An 18,213-nucleotide genomic window follows, 5' to 3' on the forward strand; every position below is an offset into this window, starting at 1 on the left:
GCAGGAGAATGGCGTGAACCCAGGAGGCGGAGCTTGCAGTGAGCCGAGATCGCGCCACTGCACTCCAGCCTGGGCAACAGAGCAAGACTCCGTCTCAAAAAAAACAAAAACAAAAACAAAAACAAAAACAAAAAAACAAATAAAAAAACAAAACCACATAACTGGATAAAGAAAAAACCATCTCCGACAGCCTTGGAGGCGGGATGAAGGCGTGGCCCGGTGGGCGTGACCAACAGCAAAAGTTTAAGCGTTATTGGCTGTATTCCTTAGTTGCTCACTCCAGAACTGCCCACTTATGGGCGGGGGTCACTCCTTCAGGCTTAACAGTCATTGGCTGAATTGGGCCAGAGAGGTCTCATTGGCTGAATTCCTGCACCGGCTCGTCGGAGGCGGGACCCAAAGTAGGCTAGGCCTACGGAAGCTGGGTCTTCTTGCTGTGAGGTCGCGTTCCCCAGTGTTACGGAGGGTCCTTGAGGCAGGAGTGAAAATTGGGTCTGGGGGTTAGTCCTGGGGTGGAGGTCTGGGCACGCCGGGTCGGACCCCCTCCATCTTCGGTTTTGCACACCCCGCTTTCCAGCGCGGAGTCGCGGCGGGTAGGGCGGCGTCGCGTGCGTGACGTCATCCAGCGGCGCCTCGCGAGGCTCCAGTGGCCTTGACCTCCCGCGGCGTGGGAGGCTGCGCGGCGATGCTGCAGTTCGTCCGGGCCGGGGCGCGGGCCTGGCTTCGGCCTACCGGCAGCCAGGTGAGGCCAGGGGCTGGAGGCGTGGTCGAAGGATGAAATTTGGGGGTGTCCAGGGGTCGTCTCTCACTTTCGCCCAACCCTTGCAGGGCCTGAGTTCCCTGGCGGAAGAGGCAGCGCGTGCGACCGAGAACCCGGAGCAGGTGGCGAGCGAGGGTAAGGCAACCGGGGTGGCTCCAGGAGGGGCGGCGACAGAGAGGTCTGACCCTTGACCCTAACCTCTGACCCCCGCAATCGCTCCAGGTCTCCCGGAGCCCGTGCTGCGCAAAGTCGAGCTCCCGGTACCCACTCATCGACGCCCAGTGCAGGCCTGGGTCGAGTCCTTGCGGGGCTTCGAGCAGGAGCGCGTGGGCCTGGCCGACCTGCACCCCGATGTTTTCGCCACCGCGCCCAGGTGAGCGAGGGCTGTAATGGTGAACTGAGTGGCAGAGGGATGAAGAGCGGGATTTCAGGAGTCACGATGACTTTGGGCTTGTACCCTTGGGAAAGTGCTGTATTTCTACAGCCTCCGTTTCTCCACCTGTCAAAGGGGAATGATGACAGTTTCCCCTGCTGTAGCGCTGTGTGAGATTGAAGCCTGAGAGGTGACATCATCTAAGGGTTAGGGAGACAGAATTCTGGAGCCCGACTGATTAGGTTCAAATCCTGCCTTCCCCTCTTGTCCCTCAGTGTCCCTATTTTGTCAGCGGTCGGGAGGTTGCTGTGATGAATAAATGACTTAATTCTGGCACATAATAAGTTCTATAGAAATGTTGATAATCTTTGTTAACTGGTTTTTGCAAATAAGAGCACTAAAAAGACTAAACCATTCCTCGGTGCCTGGAAGAGGCTGTTTGCATTTTAGTTACCCTGCTGTTCATAACATCTCTAAGAAAATGTAGGGGCCACCCTGGGCGCAGTGGCTCACGCCTGTAATCCCAGCACTTTGGGAGGCCAAGGCGGGCGGATCACGAGGTCAGGAGATCGAGACCATCCTGGCTAACATGGTGAAACCCCGTCTCTACTAAAAATACAAAAAAAAATTAGCCGGGCGTGGTGGCGGGCGTCTGTAGTCCCAGGTACTCTGGAGGCTGAGGCAAGAGAATGGCGTGAACCCGGGAGGCGGAGCTTGCAGTGAGCCGAGATCGCGCCACTGCACTCCATCCTGGGCAACACTCTGTCTCAAAAAAAAAAAAAAAAAAGAAAGAAAAGAAAATGTAGGGGCCAGTTACTGTGGCTCACATCTGTAATCCCAGCACATTGGGAGGCCGAGGTGGGCGGATCACTTGAAACCAGGAGTTGCAGACCAGCCTGGCCAACATGATGAAACCCCGTCTCTACCAAAAATACAAAAATTAGCCGGACGTCTTAGTGCAAGCCTGTAGTCCCAGCTACTCAGGAGGCTGAGGCATGAGAATCGCTTGCACCTGGGGAGATGGAGGTTGCAGTGAGCCGTGATTATACTACTGCACTCCAGCCTGGGCGACAGAGACAGACTCCATCTCAAAAAAAAAAACAGGTGAAATTGATTTCAATAATGTATTTAACCTGTATTTAAAACTATGTCGAAATCACATTGTAGCATGGGGCACTGGCCATGTTTCAGATGTTGAGTATGTGACTGTATGGAATGGTATAGAACTAGAGAGGAAAACCAGTCCCTGAAGAAGGTGGCAATAAGTGAAGTGTAATAGCAGGAAAAAAGTAATGGTAGGAAAAACAAGGAAGAAGGGGTGGCTTTTTTTTTCTGAGATGAAGTTTCGCTCTTGTCGCCCAGGCTGGAGTGCAATGGCATGCTCTCAGCTCACTTCAACCTCCGCCTCCTGGGTTCTACTAATTCTCATGCCTCAGCCTCCCGAGTAGCCAGAATGACAGACATGTACCACCGTGCCCAGCTAATCTTTGTATATTTTGGAGAGACATCACTTTGCCATGTTGCCCAGGCTGGTCTTACTCCTTGCCTCAAGTGATCCACCTGCCTTGGCCTCCCAAAGTGCCAGGATTCCAGGCATGAGCCACTGCACCTGGTCAGGGTGGCTCTTTCTTTAGAAGGTACCTTTCAGCAGTTATTGGAGCTGCTACCTGTAGGCTGAGAAAGAACCATCCAGGAGAAGAGTGTTTCAGGCAGAGGGAACAGCAAGTGCCAAGGCCCTGAGGCAGAATTTCAAGATGGGGTCAGTGAGGGGCAGAGGCAAATCGCCCAGGGCCCTGGAGGCAGAAGGGAGAATCCTGGGTTTTCCTATAGTGGGGTGGGAGCGTTTGAAGCAGAGTTGGGCTTCTCATGTGTCCTTCCTCCCCGCAGGCTGGACATACTGCACCAGGTTGCTATGTGGCAGAAGAACTTCAAGAGAATTGTGAGTGCCTAAATGGAGCAAGGTGGTGGGAAGGAGCTTCCTGGGGAGGTTGGGGATAGGACCCAGAGGAAGCCCATCGCTGGGTTTTCTCTGGACTGCTCGGCTGGGGCCTCATCTGTCTCCTGAACTATTCACCGATGGGTCCATTTTTGGTTCTCTTTTTTTTGTTTGTTTTTGAGATGGAGATGGAGTCTCACTCTGTCACCCAGGCTGGAGTGCAGTGGCGCAATCTTGGTTCACTGCAACCTCCGCTTCCTGGGTTCAAGCGATTCTCCTGCCTCTGCCTCCTGAGTAGCTGGGATTACAGGTGTGCACCACCATGCAGGCTAATTTTTGTATTTTTAGTAGAGATGGAGTTTCACCATGTTGGTCAGGCTGGTCTCAAACTCCTGACCTCAAGGAACCTACCTGCCTTGGCCTCCCAAAGTGCTGGGATTACAGGCGTGAGCCACCGTGCCCAGCTCATTTTCAGTTGTTTTCTGATCACTCACTGATGTGGGCATTGTGGTGGGTGAGAGGATATAGCAGGGACCACGAGGACAAAACAGGCAAGGTCCGGCTGTGTGCAAGTGGCTCAGGCCTGTAATCCCAGCACTGGAAGCTGAGGTGGGTGGGTTGCTTGGGGCCAGGAAAGACCAGCCTGGGAAACAGCAAGACCCAGTCTCTACCCCTTCCCCCACAACCCCAAGAAAAAGATGGGCAAAGTCCCTATTCTAATGAAGGTCACAGTGTCATGGGAGGAGAAGTGAAGGTGAGTCAGATGGTCATACGTAATGTGTAATTATGAGCATGTCCCAGAGAATGGGACGTTCAACCTTGGGTCTACTGTAGAAGCTAACCAGATCAAGGAGGCAGTGGGGCTAGTGTGGAGATAACAGGAACAGGGTGTGCAAAGGCCCTGTGGCAGGGACCACAAGGAAGCCAGTGTTGCCACAGAGGCCAGTGGGAGCAGTGGGGAGGAGTCTGGGTTTTGTGCCAAGAACATTGAAGAATCCATTACCAGTCAGGGTCTTATCCATCCACCCCAGAGGTCTGGCCAGTCCTCCCCCTGCTCACACCTTCCCTGGCTCCCCATCACCCTAGGAATAAAGTCATCAGTCTGCTATTCTGAGTTCTTCCTGATTTCCTTGCCCTGCTCCTCTTTCCTGATTCTCCCTGTCTGTGTCATTTCCCATGGCCCTCCCTCCTTGTGGCTACAACCACATTAAAATTGTTCAAAAAATAGGCCGGCACGGTGGCTCACACCTGTAATCTCAGCACTTTGGGAGGCCAAGGCAGGTGGATCACTTGAGGCCAGGAGTTCCAAACCAGCCTAGTCAACGTGGCAAAACCCCATCTCTACTGAAAATACAAAAAATTAGCTGGGGCCAGGTGCGGTGGCTCACACCTGTAATCCCAGTACTTTGGGAGGCCGAGGCGGATGGATCACGAGGTCGGGAGATCGAGACCAGCCTGACCAATATGGTGAAACCCCATCTCTACTAAAAATACAAATATTAGTTGGGTGTGGCAGCGGGCGCCTGTAGTCCCAGCTACTCTGGAGGCTGAGACAGGAGAATTGCTTGAACCTGGGAGGCGGAGGTTGCAGTGAGCCGAGATCGCGCCACTGCACTCCAGCGTGGGCGACAGAGCGAGACTCCATCTCAAAAAAAAAAATTAGCCGGGCATGGTGACAGGCACCCGTAATCTCAGCTACTAGGGAGGCTGAGGCAGGAGAATCGCTTGAATCTAGGAATCAGAGGTTGCAGTGAGCCAAGGTCACACCACTTGCACTCCACAGCCTGGGTGACAGAGTGAGACTGCCTCAAAAAAAAAAATCAATAGTTCAGAAAATACCGAGCACCCCCTGCGTGCCCGGTGGCAGGGCCCCTGCCTTTGTGAGGCTGGCATGGGGCAGGAGCTGTGACTTCTTTACCCTCCCCCTCGCTCCCCAAGTACTCTGTGCTTGGCCAGAGAGAGCCCGTCATCATGGTGCCTCCTGTCTGACTTCCCCGTGGCAGGACTGATCTGCCCGGCTCCCTGACACCTGCCTCGTGGACCTGACCCCCCTCCTCTTTGTGCCTCCAGAGCTATGCCAAGACCAAGACGAGAGCCGAGGTGCGGGGCGGTGGCCGGAAGCCTTGGCCGCAGAAAGGCACTGGGCGGGCCCGGCATGGCAGCATCCGCTCTCCGCTCTGGCGAGGAGGTAACAGGACAGGGTGGAGGGGGCGGGGAGGGGTGGGGGGGCCAGGGAAGGGCCTGGGTGTTTACTCACACACAGCTGCGCACATCTGGCATGGTATTATGTCAGCCCTGTTCCCTCCACCTCATGGAACCACCTGGGCTGGTGACATCGGAACTGAGGCCCTTGGACCTCACTACCCATATAAGGGGACAGAGATCTGGGAGCCATCCACTCCTCCCTCTCGCATGCCCTGTCTCTTCAGCCTGTGGCCACAGCCCCTCTTGACCCCACCTCCTGTCACCCTCTCCTGACCCACACTTCCCACAGCACCCAGAGAGCTCTTCTAAATCGTGGAACCTGAACTCCGGACCTCGGCCTTTGTGTGGAACCTGAACTCCTGACCTTGTCATTGTGGGCCCTGGTGGCTGCACACCTTTCCCCCTCATCCCCTCCTTTCCCTCTCTGACCAGGCAGAGATGACTCTCTCTTGTTTTTTCGGTTGTGTTTGTTTTTAACTTTTTATTTTCTTGAATGCTAACAAGATGACTCAGGGTGGTGCCAGCCACCCCATCACCTGTTTACCTGGCCAGCTCTCCTCACCTTTCAGGGTTCTGGGCCACACCTCCTCCAGGAAGCCCCCCTTGATCTCCTTTCCTTCCACATCCCCCGGAGCTACCCTGATTTCTTCTACAGCTGAGCCTCTTTTCTGCCCTGCCGGAATGTGAATGGCATGAGGGCAGGGACCATGTCTGTTGTCTTCTCTGCTGCATTTCCAAGGCCCAGGCGAGGGCAGACACCAACACATGGTGCTTGCAGGGGTCTCCCTGACTGTTGTTGCTCCCAGATCATACTGCTTGCTCCACCGGAGCATGTGCCTGATGCCTTCCTCTCCCGCTTGACCTGAAAGTTCGAACCTCCTGATAACTTCAGCATTAACAGCGTGCTTGAGTTAAGTTCACACTCTAGCCACTCTATGGAATCCACACCATAACTCATGGTGTCCTATGGGGCAGGAACTGTCCGATCTCAAGGTGGTTTGTTTTTTTTATTGTTTGCTTTTGAGACAAGATCTCGCTCTGTTGCCCAGGCTGTAGTGCAGTGGTGCAATCATAGCTCACTGCAGCCTTGAGCTCCTGGGCTCAAGTGATCCTCCATCCTCAGCCTCCCAAAATGCTGGTGTGAGCCACCTTCGCCAGCCCTGTCTCAGAGTGTGACAGCTGGGAAAACTGAAGCCCAGTGAAGCAAAGTCACTGGTCCCATGTTGTCCCTGATCCAGCCTCCCCTGAGGCCCCACCCTCTCTGCCTTGTTCCTGGCAGCGCCCCCTCTCTCGTCACCCCATGCCAGCCACTGCAGCAGATTGCTGACCTCCAGGCTCTGCAGTGGCCCCTACCTGCTCACATGCCTCTGTCCCCGCAGGAGGTGTTGCCCATGGCCCCCGGGGCCCCACAAGTTACTACTACATGCTGCCCATGAAGGTGCGGGCGCTGGGTCTCAAAGTGGCACTGACCGTCAAGCTGGCCCAGGTACAGCCATGGGGGGGCCCAGACAGCTGCTAGAGGTGGGGCTGCTCTGGACCCAGGGTTCAAACCATCCTTTCCTTCCACCAGGACGACCTGCACATCATGGACTCCCTAGAGCTGCCCACCGGAGACCCACAGTACCTGACAGAGCTGGCGCACTACCGCCGCTGGGGGGACTCCGTACTCCTCGTGGACTTGTGAGGGCACAGGGCAGAGCAGGGGCAGGGGGCCCTGAGCTCCGTACTCTGAGGGTTCAACCCCCACTCCCTGGCCTCTCTTACAGAACACACGAGGAGATGCCACAGAGCATCGTGGAGGCCACCTCTAGGCTTAAGACCTTCAACTTGATCCCGGCTGTTGGTGAGCAAAGAGCCCAGGCCCCTAGAGTGCGCATGTGCAGGCTCCGCTGTTAGAATCACAGCGGTTCAAATCCGGCATCTGGTCGCTGAGTGGCCTCAGGCAGTGACCACGCTCCCGGACCCAACCTTCAGCTTGCCCAAAGCAATAATCTTTCCTAAAGAAGTGCTTGGCTGGGGATGGTGGCTCACGCTTGTAATCCCAGTACTTTGGGAGGCCAAGGCAGTCTGGGCAATATAGTGAGGCTCCCATCTGTACTAAAAATAAAAAAGTTAGGCGTGGCGATGTGCACCTGTAGTCCCAGCTACTCGGGGGCTGAGCCAGGCGGATAGCTTGAGCTCAGGGGGCCAAGGCTGCAGTGAGTCATGATCGCACCACTGCACCCAAACCTGGGGAGAGAGCTAGACTCTTGTCTCAAAAAAAAAAAAAAAAAAAAAAAAAAAGCTCCAAAGTCACCTCTGTCAAAGCCACAGTCTGTTCCTTCCACAGCCACAAGATGGCGACATGAGCCTAAGTCAAGTCCTGTCCCTCAACCCACGCCCCTCGCTGGCTTCCCCACCTCTCTCAGGATGAAAGCCCAAGTCATCAGGGTGGCACGTCAGGCCCTGCACGATGTGCCCCGTCACCTCCCTGCCCTCCCGTCATTTGCCCTGGGTCTCCCCCACCAGAATGGGAGCCAGGAGTCCCAGCCAGGCACAGGACCGAGCCTGGCTCTCGGTCAGCAGGTGATGAGCTGGGAGCAGCTCCTTGGCCAGAGGCTTACAGGCAACAAGCGGCCAGGCAGGGTCTGGCCCCGGGCTGCTGGGCTCACAAAGTCACACTAGACCACAGTGACGATCTCTGTAAGCACAAAGGGACTCCGATGTGGGTGGGGTGAGGAGAGAGGCAGCCCCGGCCTGACCGGCCCCCCGCCCCGCCCCCACCCCGCCCCCAGGCCTAAATGTGCACAGCATGCTCAAGCACCAGACGCTGGTCCTGACGCTGCCCACCGTCGCCTTCCTGGAGGACAAGCTGCTCTGGCAGGACTCACGTTACAGACCCCTCTACCCCTTCAGCCTGCCCTACAGCGACTTCCCCCGACCCCTACCCCACGCTACCCAGGGCCCAGCGGCCACCCCGTACCACTGTTGATGTGAAGCACCTCTTCTGAGCCAGGCCGAGCCCCTGGCCGACTTGGGAGCCTCAGGCCCACGCCCACCCTTCGAGGAAGGTGTCACCTGGACCCCTTCATTCCACGGAGGAAGCTGAGGCCACAGGGAGCGGCCATCGCCATTGGGAAGGGGCGACTCCACGGAAAGCCCAGACGGGCTTCTGCATCCATTCCCTCTTTTTGTTTTTAAAATAAATTGTATTTTTGAATCAAGGAGGATAAAGATAACTTCTCAGTGTCATTTTTGATAATTGCATTGAGAACGATGAGCTCCTTCCCAGGTTCTGGGCACTGTTGGGGATCCGCCGTCTCAAGAGGCTCACGGTCTGGTTTAGGGGAACCCCAGGGCTGTTTGTGGAAATTACAAGAATTCACTTACCCGGTGAGTCAGACTCCAGGAGCTCACAGGTGCGTGGGCGCTGGCACTTCCTAGGAGCTGACTCCTGCCACATCCCTCTCCTGAGCACTGCTGCCAGCCATTCTCACCCCTGAGAGGGTTTGCAGTCCTGTCTGCGACAGTACTTCATGCAGCCTGAGAGTGTGTGCTTGATTGTACAAGTAGATGTTGTGTAAACCTGAGTTTTCAGAGTGACTTCCTGTAAGCACAGTCAGAAAAGTAAATGTCTCTCTGTAAGTGAGCAGATAAGCACATGCTTAAAAACACCAGCTGGGCGTGGTGACTCGCACCTGTAACCCTAGCACTTTGGGAGGTCAAGGTGGAAGGATCGTTTGAGCTCAGAGCTTCCAGACCAGCCTGGGCAACATGGTGAAACCCCATCTCTGCAAAAAATATAAAAATTAAGTGGGCGTGTTGGCGTCCACCTGTGGTCCCAGCTACTTGGGAGGCTGAGGTGGGAGGATCACCTGAGCCCAGGAAGCAGAGGTTGCAGTGAGCTGAGACTGAGCCACCACACACCAGCCTGGGTGACAGAGTGAGACACTGTCTTAAAACCCCAATATCCCAATTTTTGAGTTTGCTGAGGTTGCCAGCCAAGTTAATTTTTCTTAACAGCCATAACAGACTATAATATAGACAATGTGATCGATTTATTTAAAGTCAACCAGCTGGGCGCGGTGGCTCACGCCTATAATCCCAGAATTTTAGGAGGCTGAGCCAGGTGGATCACCGGAAGTCAGGAGTTCGAGACCAGCCTGGCCAAGCCGGGAGTGGTGGCGGGCACCTGTAATCCCAGCTACTTAGGAGGCTGAGGTGGGAGAATCGCTTGAACCCAGGAGGCAGAGGTTGCAGTGAGCCAAGATAGCGCCACTGCGCTCCAGCCTGGGTGACAGAGCAAGATTCCATCTATAAATAAATAAATAAATAAAGTCAATCAGGACTGCCTTCTGCCTGTGTGGGCCTGGCCAGGCTAAGCAGCCACACAACCCTCCCTACCTGCTGGGCCACCCCTGGCTGAAAACCTCTCTGGAATGCCTCTCTTGGGATTGCCTTCAGAGATTGCAACACATTCTCCAAACACCCTCAGTGGACATAGACTTTGATCCTTGAAGCAGCAGATTTGACTAAGTAAAAAAGAAAAAGCTATTAAAACCAGTTGGCTGGGCGCGGTGGCTCACGCCTGTAATCCCAGCACTTTGGGAGGCCGAGGCAGGCGGATCACGAGGTCAGGAGATCGAGACTATCCTGGCTAACACAGTGAAACCCCATCTCTACCAAAAATACAAAAAATTAGCCGGGCGTGGTGGTGGGCGCCTGTAGTCCCAGCTACTCAGGAGACTGAGGCAGGAGAATGGTGTGAACCCGGGAGGTGGAGCTTGCAGTGAGCCGAGATCGCGCCACTGCACTCCACTCCAGCCTGGCGACAGAGCTAGACTGTCTCAAAAAAAAAAACAGAGGCGTGCCAAAGCTCAGCAGAAAATGCCGCCTCATCACTCTTCCTCTTGCCAGTCTTGTGGGGGCACCAAGGCCTAGAGTAACACCCAGCTGTTGGCCTGACAGTGCCTGGCCCAGCCTGGAGAGTTGCAGCCAGAAGTATAAATGTGGTTCAGTCTGCGTCATACCTGTCAGGAAACATGGTGAGACCAACTGCTGCCCAGACGGATTTTCAAAAGAAATGGGTCAGAACGTATTCCCCCACACTGGAATCCCTCAGCCAGATTGAGGATAAAAACAGGCATCAGAAAAAAATGATACAGGCAGGCCTGGTGGCTCATGCCTGTAATCCCAGCACTTTGGGAGGCTGAGGCGGGAGGATCGCCTGAGCACAGGAGTTTGAGACCAGCCTGGGCAACACAGTGAGAACCTATCTCTACTAAAAATAGAACAATTAGCCAGGCACGGTGGTGTGGCTGTGGTCCCAGCTACTCTGGAGGCTGAGGTGGGAGGATCACTTGAGCCCTAGGGGTAGAGGCTGCAGTGAGCGGAGATCACCCCACTGCAATCCAGCCTGGGCAACAGATCAAGACCCTGTCTCAAAAAAAAAAAAAAGAAAAGAAAACAAAAGAAAAATATGATACACTGACTAGAATGTGCTTTAAAATAATTGGCATAGTTGGGTATGGTGGCATGCACCTGCAGTCTCACCTACTTGGAAAGCTGTGGCCAGGAGTTTGAGACCAGCCTGGGCAACACAGCAAGACCTCATCTCTATAAAAAATAGGCGGGGAGCAGTGGCTCACGCCTGTAATCCCAGCACTTTGGGAGGCCAAGGCAGGCGGATCACTAGAGGACAGGAGTTCAAGACCAGCCTGGCCAACATGGTGAAACCCCATCTCTACTAAAAATACAAAAATTGGCAGGATGTGGTGGCGGGTGCCTATAATCCCAGCTACTTGGGAGGCTGAGGCAGGAGAATCGCTTGAACCTGGGAGGCAGAGGTTGCAGTGAGCCGAGGTCATGACACTGCCCTCAAACCTGGGTGACAGAGCAAGACTCGGTCTCGAAAAAAAAAATAATGAATGAATGAATTAATTCATTAATTAAATAGGGGGGGTATATGAGTTTGTTAGGGCTGCCGTAGGAGTGCCACAAACTGCAGGGGTTGGGGGGGTTAGTCAACAGAAATTTATTCTGTCCTGTTTCTGGAGGCTGGAAGTCCAAGGTGAAGAACAGGGTTAGCTCCTTCTAAGGGAAAATCTGTTCCAGATCCCTCTCCTAGCGTCTGGTGGTTTGCTTTGCTGACTATCTTTGACATTCCTTGGCTTGTAGCCACACTGCTTCAGTCTCCACCTTCATCTTTACATGATGTTGTCCCTGTGGGTATGTGTCTGTTTCTGTGTCTAAATTTCTCCTTTTTATTTTTTTCTTTTTTCTCTATCTTTTTTTTTAGACGGAGTCGCGCTCTGTTGCCCAGGCTGGAGTGCAGTGGCTCGATCTCGGCTCACTGCAACTTCTGCCTCCTGGGTTCAAGCGATTCTCCTGCCTCAGCCTCCCAAGTAGCTGGGATTACAGGCGCCCACCACCATGCCTGGCTAATTTTTGTGTTTTTAGTAGAGAAGGGGTTTCGCCATATTGGCCAGGCTGGTAACCTCAGGTGATCCACCCGCTTTGGCCTCCCAAAGTACTGGGATTACAAGCGTGAGCCACCGAACCTGGCCTATTTTTTCATTTATTTTTAGACAGAGTTTTGCTCTTCTTGTCCAGGCTAGAGTACAATGGCGCAATCTCGGCTAATCTCAACCTCCGCCTCCCGGGTTCAGGCGATTCTCCTGCCTCAGCCTCCCAAGTAGCTGGGATTACAGGCATACGCCACAATGCCTGGCTAATTCTGTTTTGTTAGCAGAGATGGGGTTTCACCATGTTGGTCAGGCTGGTCTCGAACTCCCGACCTCAGGTGATCCACCCACCTCAGCCTCCCAAAGTGCTGAGATTACAGACACGAGCCACTGAGCCTGGCCCTCTCCTTTTTATTTTTAAAATATATTTTGTGGACGGCAGCAGTGGCTCACACCTGTAATCCCAGCACTTTGGGAGGCCGAGGCGGGTGGATCACAAGGTCAGGAACTCGAGACCAGCCTGGCCAATATGGTGAAGCCCCATCTCTACTAAAAATATAAAAATTAGCCAGGCATGGCCGGGCGCGGTGGCTCACGCCTGTAATCCCAGCACTTTGGGAGGCCGAGGCGGGCGGATCACGAGGTCAGGAGATCGAGACCATCCTGGTTAATACGGTGAAACCCCGTCTCTACTAAAAATACAAAAAAAAAATTAGCTGGGCGAGGTGGCAGGTGCCTGTAGTCCCAGCTACTCGGGAGGCTGAGGCATGAGAATGGCGTGAACCCGGGAGGCGGAGCTTGCAGTGAGCTGAGATCGCGCCACTGCACTCCAGCCTGGGTGACAGAGTGAGACTCCATCTCAAAAAAAAAAAAAAAAAATTTAGCCAGGCGTGGTGTCAGAAGCCTGTAGTCGCAACTACTTGGGAGGCTGAGGCAGGAGAATCACTTGAACCCAGGAGGTGGAGGTTGCAGTGAGCCGAGACCACATCACGGCACATCTAAAAAAAAAAAAAGTTTTCTGTTTTTGTTTTTTGCAAAACTACTGAAATAAATACAGTGAGATATTTATTTATAAATGAGAACGAATTAATAATGAGCCGTAGGCTGGGTGTGGTGGCTCATGCCTATAATCCCAGCATTTTGGGGGGCCAAGGCAGGTGGAACACTTGAGGTCAAGAGTTCGAGACCAGGCTGACCAATATAGTGGAACCCCATCTCTACTAAAAATACAAAAGAATTAGCCGGGCATGGTGCCGGGCGCCTGTAATCTCAGCTATGGGAGGCTGAGGTAGGAGAATCGCTTAAACCCTGGAGGCGGAGGTTGCAGTGAGGCGATATCACGCCACTGCACTCCAGCCTGGGGGACAGAGCGAGACTCCATCTCTAAATAAATAAATAAGGAGCTGTATTTCAAAATTTGGAGAAGGTGACACTGAGAGTACTGAATACACAGTTTTTTGTTTTTTTGGTTTTTTTTGAGACAGAGTCTCGCTCTGTCACCCAGGCTGGAGTGCAGTGGTGCAACCTCGGCTCACTGCAATCTCTGCCTCCCGGTTCAAGCAAATCTCCTGCCTCAGCCTCCCGCGTAGCTGGGATTACAGGCACGCATCCCCATGCCTGGCTAATTTTTGTATTTTTAGTAGAGACGGGATTTCACCATATTGGTCAGGCTGATCTCAAACTCCTGACCTCGTGATCTGCCTGCCTCGGCCTCCCAAAGTGCTGGGATTACAGGCGTGAGCCACCGAGCCTGGCCCCAAAAAATATTTATCAAAACTATGTTAATGCTGGCCGGGTGCGGTGGCTCATGCCTGTAATCCCAGCACTTTGGGAGGCCGAGGCAGGTGGAACACGAGGTCAGGAGATTGAGACCATCCTGGCTAACACGGTGAAACCCCGTCTCTACTAAAAAATACAAAAAATTAGCCGGGCGCGGTGGTGGGTGCCTGTAGTCCCAGCTACTCAGGAGGCTGAAGCAGGAGAATGGCAGGAACCGGGGAGGCAGAGGTTGTAGTGAGCTGAGATCGCGCCATTGCACTCCAGCCTGGGCGACAGAGCGAGAATCCGTCTCGAAAAAAAAAAAAAAATACACACACACACACAAAAACTGTGTTAATGCTTAACTACACAAAAATGATAATCAGATAAATATGCATTTATTTAGAGAACTGCATGTTGGTCAGTCCAGTCCCTGCAGAGGGAATTCCCAGCATGACCTCATTCACTTGTGAAGACAGAGCAATCCTTGTGTTTTATTTTTTTAAGATGGATCTCACTCTGTTGCCCAGACTGGAGTGCAGTGGCATGATCTCAGCCCTCTGCCACCTCCACCTTCCGGGTTCAAGAGATTCTCATGCCTCAGCCTCCTGAGTAGCTGAGATTACAGGCTTGTGCCTCCATGCCCAGCTAATTTTTTTATTTTTACTAGAGATGAGGTTTCACCAGTTTGGGCAGGCCGGTCTCAAACTCCTGACCTCAAGTGATCCACCCACCTCGGCCTCCCGAAGTGCTGGGATGACAGGTGCCTGGTCAGCAACTGTTGTTTAGACATACACATTTTATCTGCTCGTCCAGCATGGTCAGCCCTCCACTTTTTAAATTTTATTTTATTTATTTTTTTGAGACAGAGTCTCACTCTGTTGTCCAGGTTGGAGTCCAGTGGCGTGATTTCGGCTCACTGCAACCTCTACTTCCCAGGTTCGAGCAATTCTCCTGCCTCAGCTTCCCGAGTAGCTGGGATTACAGGCCCGCGTCCCCACACCTAGCTAATTTTTGTATTTTTAGTAGAGACAGGGTTTCACCATGTTGGCCAGGCTGGTCTCGAACTCCTGACCTCAGGTGATTCTCCTGCCTTGGCCTCCCAAAGTGCTGAGATTACAGGTGTGAGCCACTGCACACGGCCTTAAATTTTATTTATTATTTATTTATTTATTTATTTAGAGACTTAGTCTCACTCTGTTGCCCAGGCTGGAGTGCAGTGGCATGGTCTCGGCTCACTGCACTCCACCTCCTGGGTTCACGCCATTCTCCTGCCTCAGCCTCCCGAGTAGCTGGGACTACAGGCGCCCACCACCACTCCCGGCTAATTTTTGTATTTTTAGTAGAGATGGGGTTTCACTGTGTTAGCCAGGATAGTCTCGATCTCCTGACCTCGTGATCCGCCTGCCTCGGCCTCCCAAAGTGCTGGGATTACTTATTTTGTTTTTTGTAGAGACAGGTTCTCACTGTGTTGCCCAGGCTGGTCTTGAACTCCTGATCTCAAGTGATCTTCCCACCTCAGTCTCTCAAAGGGCTGGGATTACAGGGGTGAGCCACTGCACCCCACCTTCCCTCTACTTTTTGACGGTTTCCTTCTGCTATGAATGTGCATGTCCAGTTGTCTGCTTCTTAGAACTGATATTTACCTTCCTCATCCATCAGCCATTGGAGGAGGACTGGGACCGCTCAGATTATTGATCTGACCCATTCTTTCGGCAGGGTTTCCTGGTGGCTGTCTTCCATCACCAAAACTGGAATCAGAAGAGTTTCCATAGCCCTTTTTTTTTCCCCACATCTTTGCTGAAGCAGAGTTTTGAAAAACAAAACCACAAACTAAGCTATTCCCCAGAAGAAATCTGTAATCAAAGATAAGCTCTGCCGGGCACAGTGGCTCACGCCTTTTGGAGGCCAAGGCGGGCGGATCACCTGAGGTCAGGAGTTCTAGACCTGCCAGGCCAACATGGTAAAACCTCATCTCTACTAAAAATACAAAAATTAGCTAGATGTGGTGGTGGGTACCTGTAGTCTCAGCTACCTGGGAGGCTGAGGCAAGAGAATCGCTTGAACCTGGGAAGTAGAGGTTGCAGTGAGCCGAGATTGCACCACTGCACTCCAGCCTGGGCGACGGAGTGAGACGACCTCACAAAAATTTACATAAATAAAATGAAAAGTAAAATAAAAATACAAAAGTTGGCCGGGTGCGTTTGCTCACGCCTGTAATCCCAGCACTTTGGGAGGGTGAGGCAGGCAGATAATGAGGTAAGAAGATCGAGACCATCCTGGCTAACACGGTGAAACCCTGTCTCTACTAAAAATACAAAAAATTAGCTGTGCGTGGTGACACGCACCTGTAGTCCCAGCTATTTGGGAGGCTGAGGCAGGAGAATCACTTGAACCTGGGAGGTGGAGGTTGCAGTGAGCCGAGATCGCACCACTGCACTCCAGCCTGGGCCACAGAGTGAGACTCCATCTTGAAAAAAAAAAAAAATACAAAAGTTAGCCAGGGGTGTTGGTGGGTGCCTGTAATCCCAGCTATTTGGGAGGCTAAGGCAGAAGAATTTCTTGAACCTAGGAAACGGAGGTTGCAGTGAGCCGAGATCACACCTCTGTACTCCAGCCTGGACAACAGAGCGAGACTTTGTCTCAAAAAAAAAAAAAAAAAAAAAACTAAATAGGCCGGGAGCAGTGGCTCATGCCTATAATCCCAGCCCTTTGGGAGGCCAAGGCAGGTGGATCACTTGAGGTCAGGAGTTTGAGACCAGGCTGGCCAACATGGTGTAACCCCGTCTCTACTAAAAACACAAAAATTAGCCGGGTCTGGTGGCGTATGTCTGTAATCCCAGCTACTCGGGAGGCTGAGGCAGGAGAATCACTTAAACCTGGGAGGCAGGGGTTGCAGTGAGCTGAGATCGTGCCACTGCACTCTAGCCAGGGTGACAGAGTGAAACTCTGTCTCAAAAAATTAAAAAAGAAATTCAGCAAGTAATGAGTTAAGGAATTCGAATATTAAGGCGAGTGACAAGGAACGCCCAGGATGTGGCCCAGGATGGAGTAGGGGGGACACTCATTTAGGAGAAAGCTCAGGCCACAAGACAGGAGGAGCCAGCCTTGTTGGGGTTGAAGGGAAGAGCATTCCAGGCTGAGGGAACTGCAAGGCGTTTGCATGGGACACTATGGGATGGCTTCTGCCCTTGGTGGGCAGCCTCTGGTCTGAGGCCATTCTTTGGCCTGCCTGACTGTCTGGCAACCGGGAGGAAGCCCTGCCCTTCCTGGAGACAGAAACAAAGGTCTAGGAAATATCTGCTTCCCTTTTCCTTGAAAAACGCTTAAGGGAACGGAGGACTGGGAGGTGCCGTCTCTCTCTGCCAGCCTGCCCCCTACCATAGCCATCCCACTCCCATCTCAGAAAGTGACCCGCCATCCTCCAAAAGGCTCGGACCCTGATCAAGGAGTCATCCCCCTTGTCCCAGCACCTCCAGTTGGCCCAGCCTCCAAAACGGATGTCAAATTCAGCCCTTTCTCCAAGGACACTGCCCAGTCCAGGCCCCACTATCATTCATCTGGACTAGAACAGTCACCTCCTCTCCCATCTCCTGGCTGCAGCTCTTGAAGCCTCAACTGGGCCCCTGTGAACACTTGAGTTAGGGCAAGGTCCTTCCTCTGCTCAGAACCCTCTATACCTCCCACCTCGCTGGGCATAAAAGCCAAAGTCCTGGCCAGGCACGGTGGCTCACATCTGTTATCCCAGCACTTTGGGAGGCCAAGGGGGGCGGATCACTAGAGGTCAGGAGTTAGAGACCAACATGGTGAAACCCCATCTCTACTAAAAATACAAAAATTAGCTAGGCGTGGTGACGCACCCCTGTAGTACCAGCTACTCGGTAGGCTGAGGTGGGAGAATCGCTTGAACCTGGGAGGCAGAGTTTGCAGTGAGCCGAGATCACACCACTGTGCTCCAGCCTGGGTGACAGAACGAGACTGGGGTTCAGAAACAAACAAACAAAACAACAAAGTCCTCCTCAGGTGACAGGAACTTGCACCTATCTGCCCTGTCATCTCCCTGCCCGCTCCTCTCCTCGAATCTCTCCTTTGCTAAGCCTGCTCCAGCCACACTGTTCTCCTGGCTGTTCCTTTTTTTTTTTTTTTTTTTTTTTTTTTGAGTCTCACTCTCACCCAGGCTGGAGTGCAGTGCCTCTATCTTGGCTCACTGCAACCTCCGCCTGCCGGGTTCAAGAGATTCTCCTGCATCAGCCTCCCAAGTAGGTGGAATTACAGGTGTGCACCACCACACCCGGCTAATTTTTGTATTTTGCATAGAGATGGGGGTCTCCCTATGTTGCCCAGGCTGGTCTTGAACTCCTGGGCTCAAGTGATCCTCCCATCTCGGCCTCCCAAAATGCTGGGATTACAGGTGGGAGCCGCGCCCAGGTGGATTTTTGTCTGACTCTGTTCATTCCTGTGTCCCCAGTACCTGGAAGGACGCCAAGCACACAGTAGGCGCTTAAAAAACATTGAGCCACATGTTGAGAAAAGAACGGCACCATTGTGGCTGCAAGTGGGACTTGGGCCGCGCGGGGGAGCTCGCGCACCTCGGGCCGGGGCAAGAGCTCAGTGGAACCCGCCCGAGGAAGAACCCGTGGCGCAGGATTTTCCCAGGCCTTCTGAGGACCAGGGGCGTCCCCCGTCCCACCCTGTGACTTTGCTCAGGCCGTTCCGGGGCGGGAATTCAGAACTCCTC

At 53.2% G+C, this 18,213-nt stretch overlaps 1 protein-coding gene and 1 long non-coding RNA gene across 6 annotated transcripts in view, besides 7 other annotated features; one reads left to right on the top strand and one right to left on the bottom strand.

The window, feature by feature from the left end:
• Window positions 1–574: an enhancer, noted in NCBI's record as "H3K27ac hESC enhancer chr19:10362245-10362818 (GRCh37/hg19 assembly coordinates)". NCBI's record gives its function as "activates a minimal SCP1, AML or CMV promoter by ChIP-STARR-seq in primed H9 embryonic stem cells {active_cell/tissue: H9 hESC(primed)}" and the evidence as "EXISTENCE:reporter gene assay evidence [ECO:0000049][PMID:30033119]".
• Window positions 1–1,148: a biological region, named in NCBI's record as "H3K27ac hESC enhancers GRCh37_chr19:10362245-10362818 and GRCh37_chr19:10362819-10363392".
• Window positions 29–178: an enhancer, noted in NCBI's record as "active region_13949". NCBI's record gives its function as "activates an Ori minimal core promoter by ATAC-STARR-seq in GM12878 lymphoblastoid cells {active_cell/tissue: GM12878}" and the evidence as "EXISTENCE:reporter gene assay evidence [ECO:0000049][PMID:35858748]".
• Window positions 309–718: an enhancer, noted in NCBI's record as "active region_13950". NCBI's record gives its function as "activates an Ori minimal core promoter by ATAC-STARR-seq in GM12878 lymphoblastoid cells {active_cell/tissue: GM12878}" and the evidence as "EXISTENCE:reporter gene assay evidence [ECO:0000049][PMID:35858748]".
• Window positions 383–8,487, top strand: MRPL4 (mitochondrial ribosomal protein L4). Of its 4 annotated transcripts, NM_146387.2 has the most exons (10): window positions 383–441; window positions 578–742; window positions 829–895; window positions 983–1,133; window positions 3,021–3,072; window positions 5,140–5,257; window positions 6,654–6,760; window positions 6,845–6,954; window positions 7,041–7,117; window positions 8,049–8,487. In NM_146387.2, the coding sequence occupies exons 2-10, from the start codon at window positions 686–688 to the stop codon at window positions 8,243–8,245; spliced, it is 936 nt and encodes a 311-aa protein (NP_666499.1). In that variant the 5' UTR covers window positions 383–441; window positions 578–685; the 3' UTR covers window positions 8,246–8,487. The 4 variants fall into 4 exon arrangements, with proteins under 4 accessions (NP_666499.1, NP_001398078.1, NP_057040.2 ...); NM_001411149.1 differs by lacking the exon at window positions 383–441 and having other exon boundaries at window positions 646–742; window positions 7,604–8,487; NM_015956.3 differs by lacking the exon at window positions 383–441 and having other exon boundaries at window positions 646–742.
• Window positions 575–1,148: an enhancer, noted in NCBI's record as "H3K27ac hESC enhancer chr19:10362819-10363392 (GRCh37/hg19 assembly coordinates)". NCBI's record gives its function as "activates a minimal SCP1, AML or CMV promoter by ChIP-STARR-seq in primed H9 embryonic stem cells {active_cell/tissue: H9 hESC(primed)}" and the evidence as "EXISTENCE:reporter gene assay evidence [ECO:0000049][PMID:30033119]".
• LIMASI (lncRNA inflammatory and mucous response associated, antisense to ICAM1) overlaps window positions 8,442–18,213 on the bottom strand; it is a 23,441-nt gene continuing 13,669 nt past the window's right edge. The window contains exons 2-4 of one of the 2 annotated variants that reach the window (XR_007067138.1): window positions 15,122–15,226; window positions 8,751–8,860; window positions 8,442–8,612 (exon numbers count right to left, since the gene is read on the bottom strand). This is a non-coding gene — a long non-coding RNA (lncRNA inflammatory and mucous response associated, antisense to ICAM1). Of the gene's footprint in view, window positions 8,861–9,657; window positions 9,786–15,121; window positions 15,227–18,213 lie in introns of both variants that reach the window. The other variant, XR_007067137.1, reaches the window with a different exon arrangement.
• Window positions 8,646–8,845: an enhancer, noted in NCBI's record as "active region_13951". NCBI's record gives its function as "activates an Ori minimal core promoter by ATAC-STARR-seq in GM12878 lymphoblastoid cells {active_cell/tissue: GM12878}" and the evidence as "EXISTENCE:reporter gene assay evidence [ECO:0000049][PMID:35858748]".
• Window positions 16,465–16,759: a silencer, noted in NCBI's record as "tiled region #14536; K562 Repressive non-DNase unmatched - State 23:Low". NCBI's record gives its function as "represses a minimal TATA promoter and a strong SV40 promoter by Sharpr-MPRA in K562 cells {active_cell/tissue: K562}" and the evidence as "EXISTENCE:reporter gene assay evidence [ECO:0000049][PMID:27701403]".

Source organism: Homo sapiens, chromosome 19 (genome assembly GCF_000001405.40).
Source record: "Homo sapiens chromosome 19, GRCh38.p14 Primary Assembly".
Taxonomy (NCBI): domain Eukaryota; kingdom Metazoa; phylum Chordata; class Mammalia; order Primates; family Hominidae; genus Homo; species Homo sapiens.

Bases quoted from the DNA above. Each gene is read 5' to 3' on its own strand.
- MRPL4 (NM_001411149.1), top strand. From the start codon at position 686: ATGCTGCAGTTCGTCCGGGCCGGGGCGCGGGCCTGGCTTCGGCCTACC. The intron at 5,258-6,653 runs GTAACAGGACAG...CTGTCCCCGCAG, and splicing joins CTCTCCGCTCTGGCGAGGAG to GAGGTGTTGCCCATGGCCCC. The intron at 6,761-6,844 runs GTACAGCCATGG...TCCTTCCACCAG, and splicing joins TGACCGTCAAGCTGGCCCAG to GACGACCTGCACATCATGGA.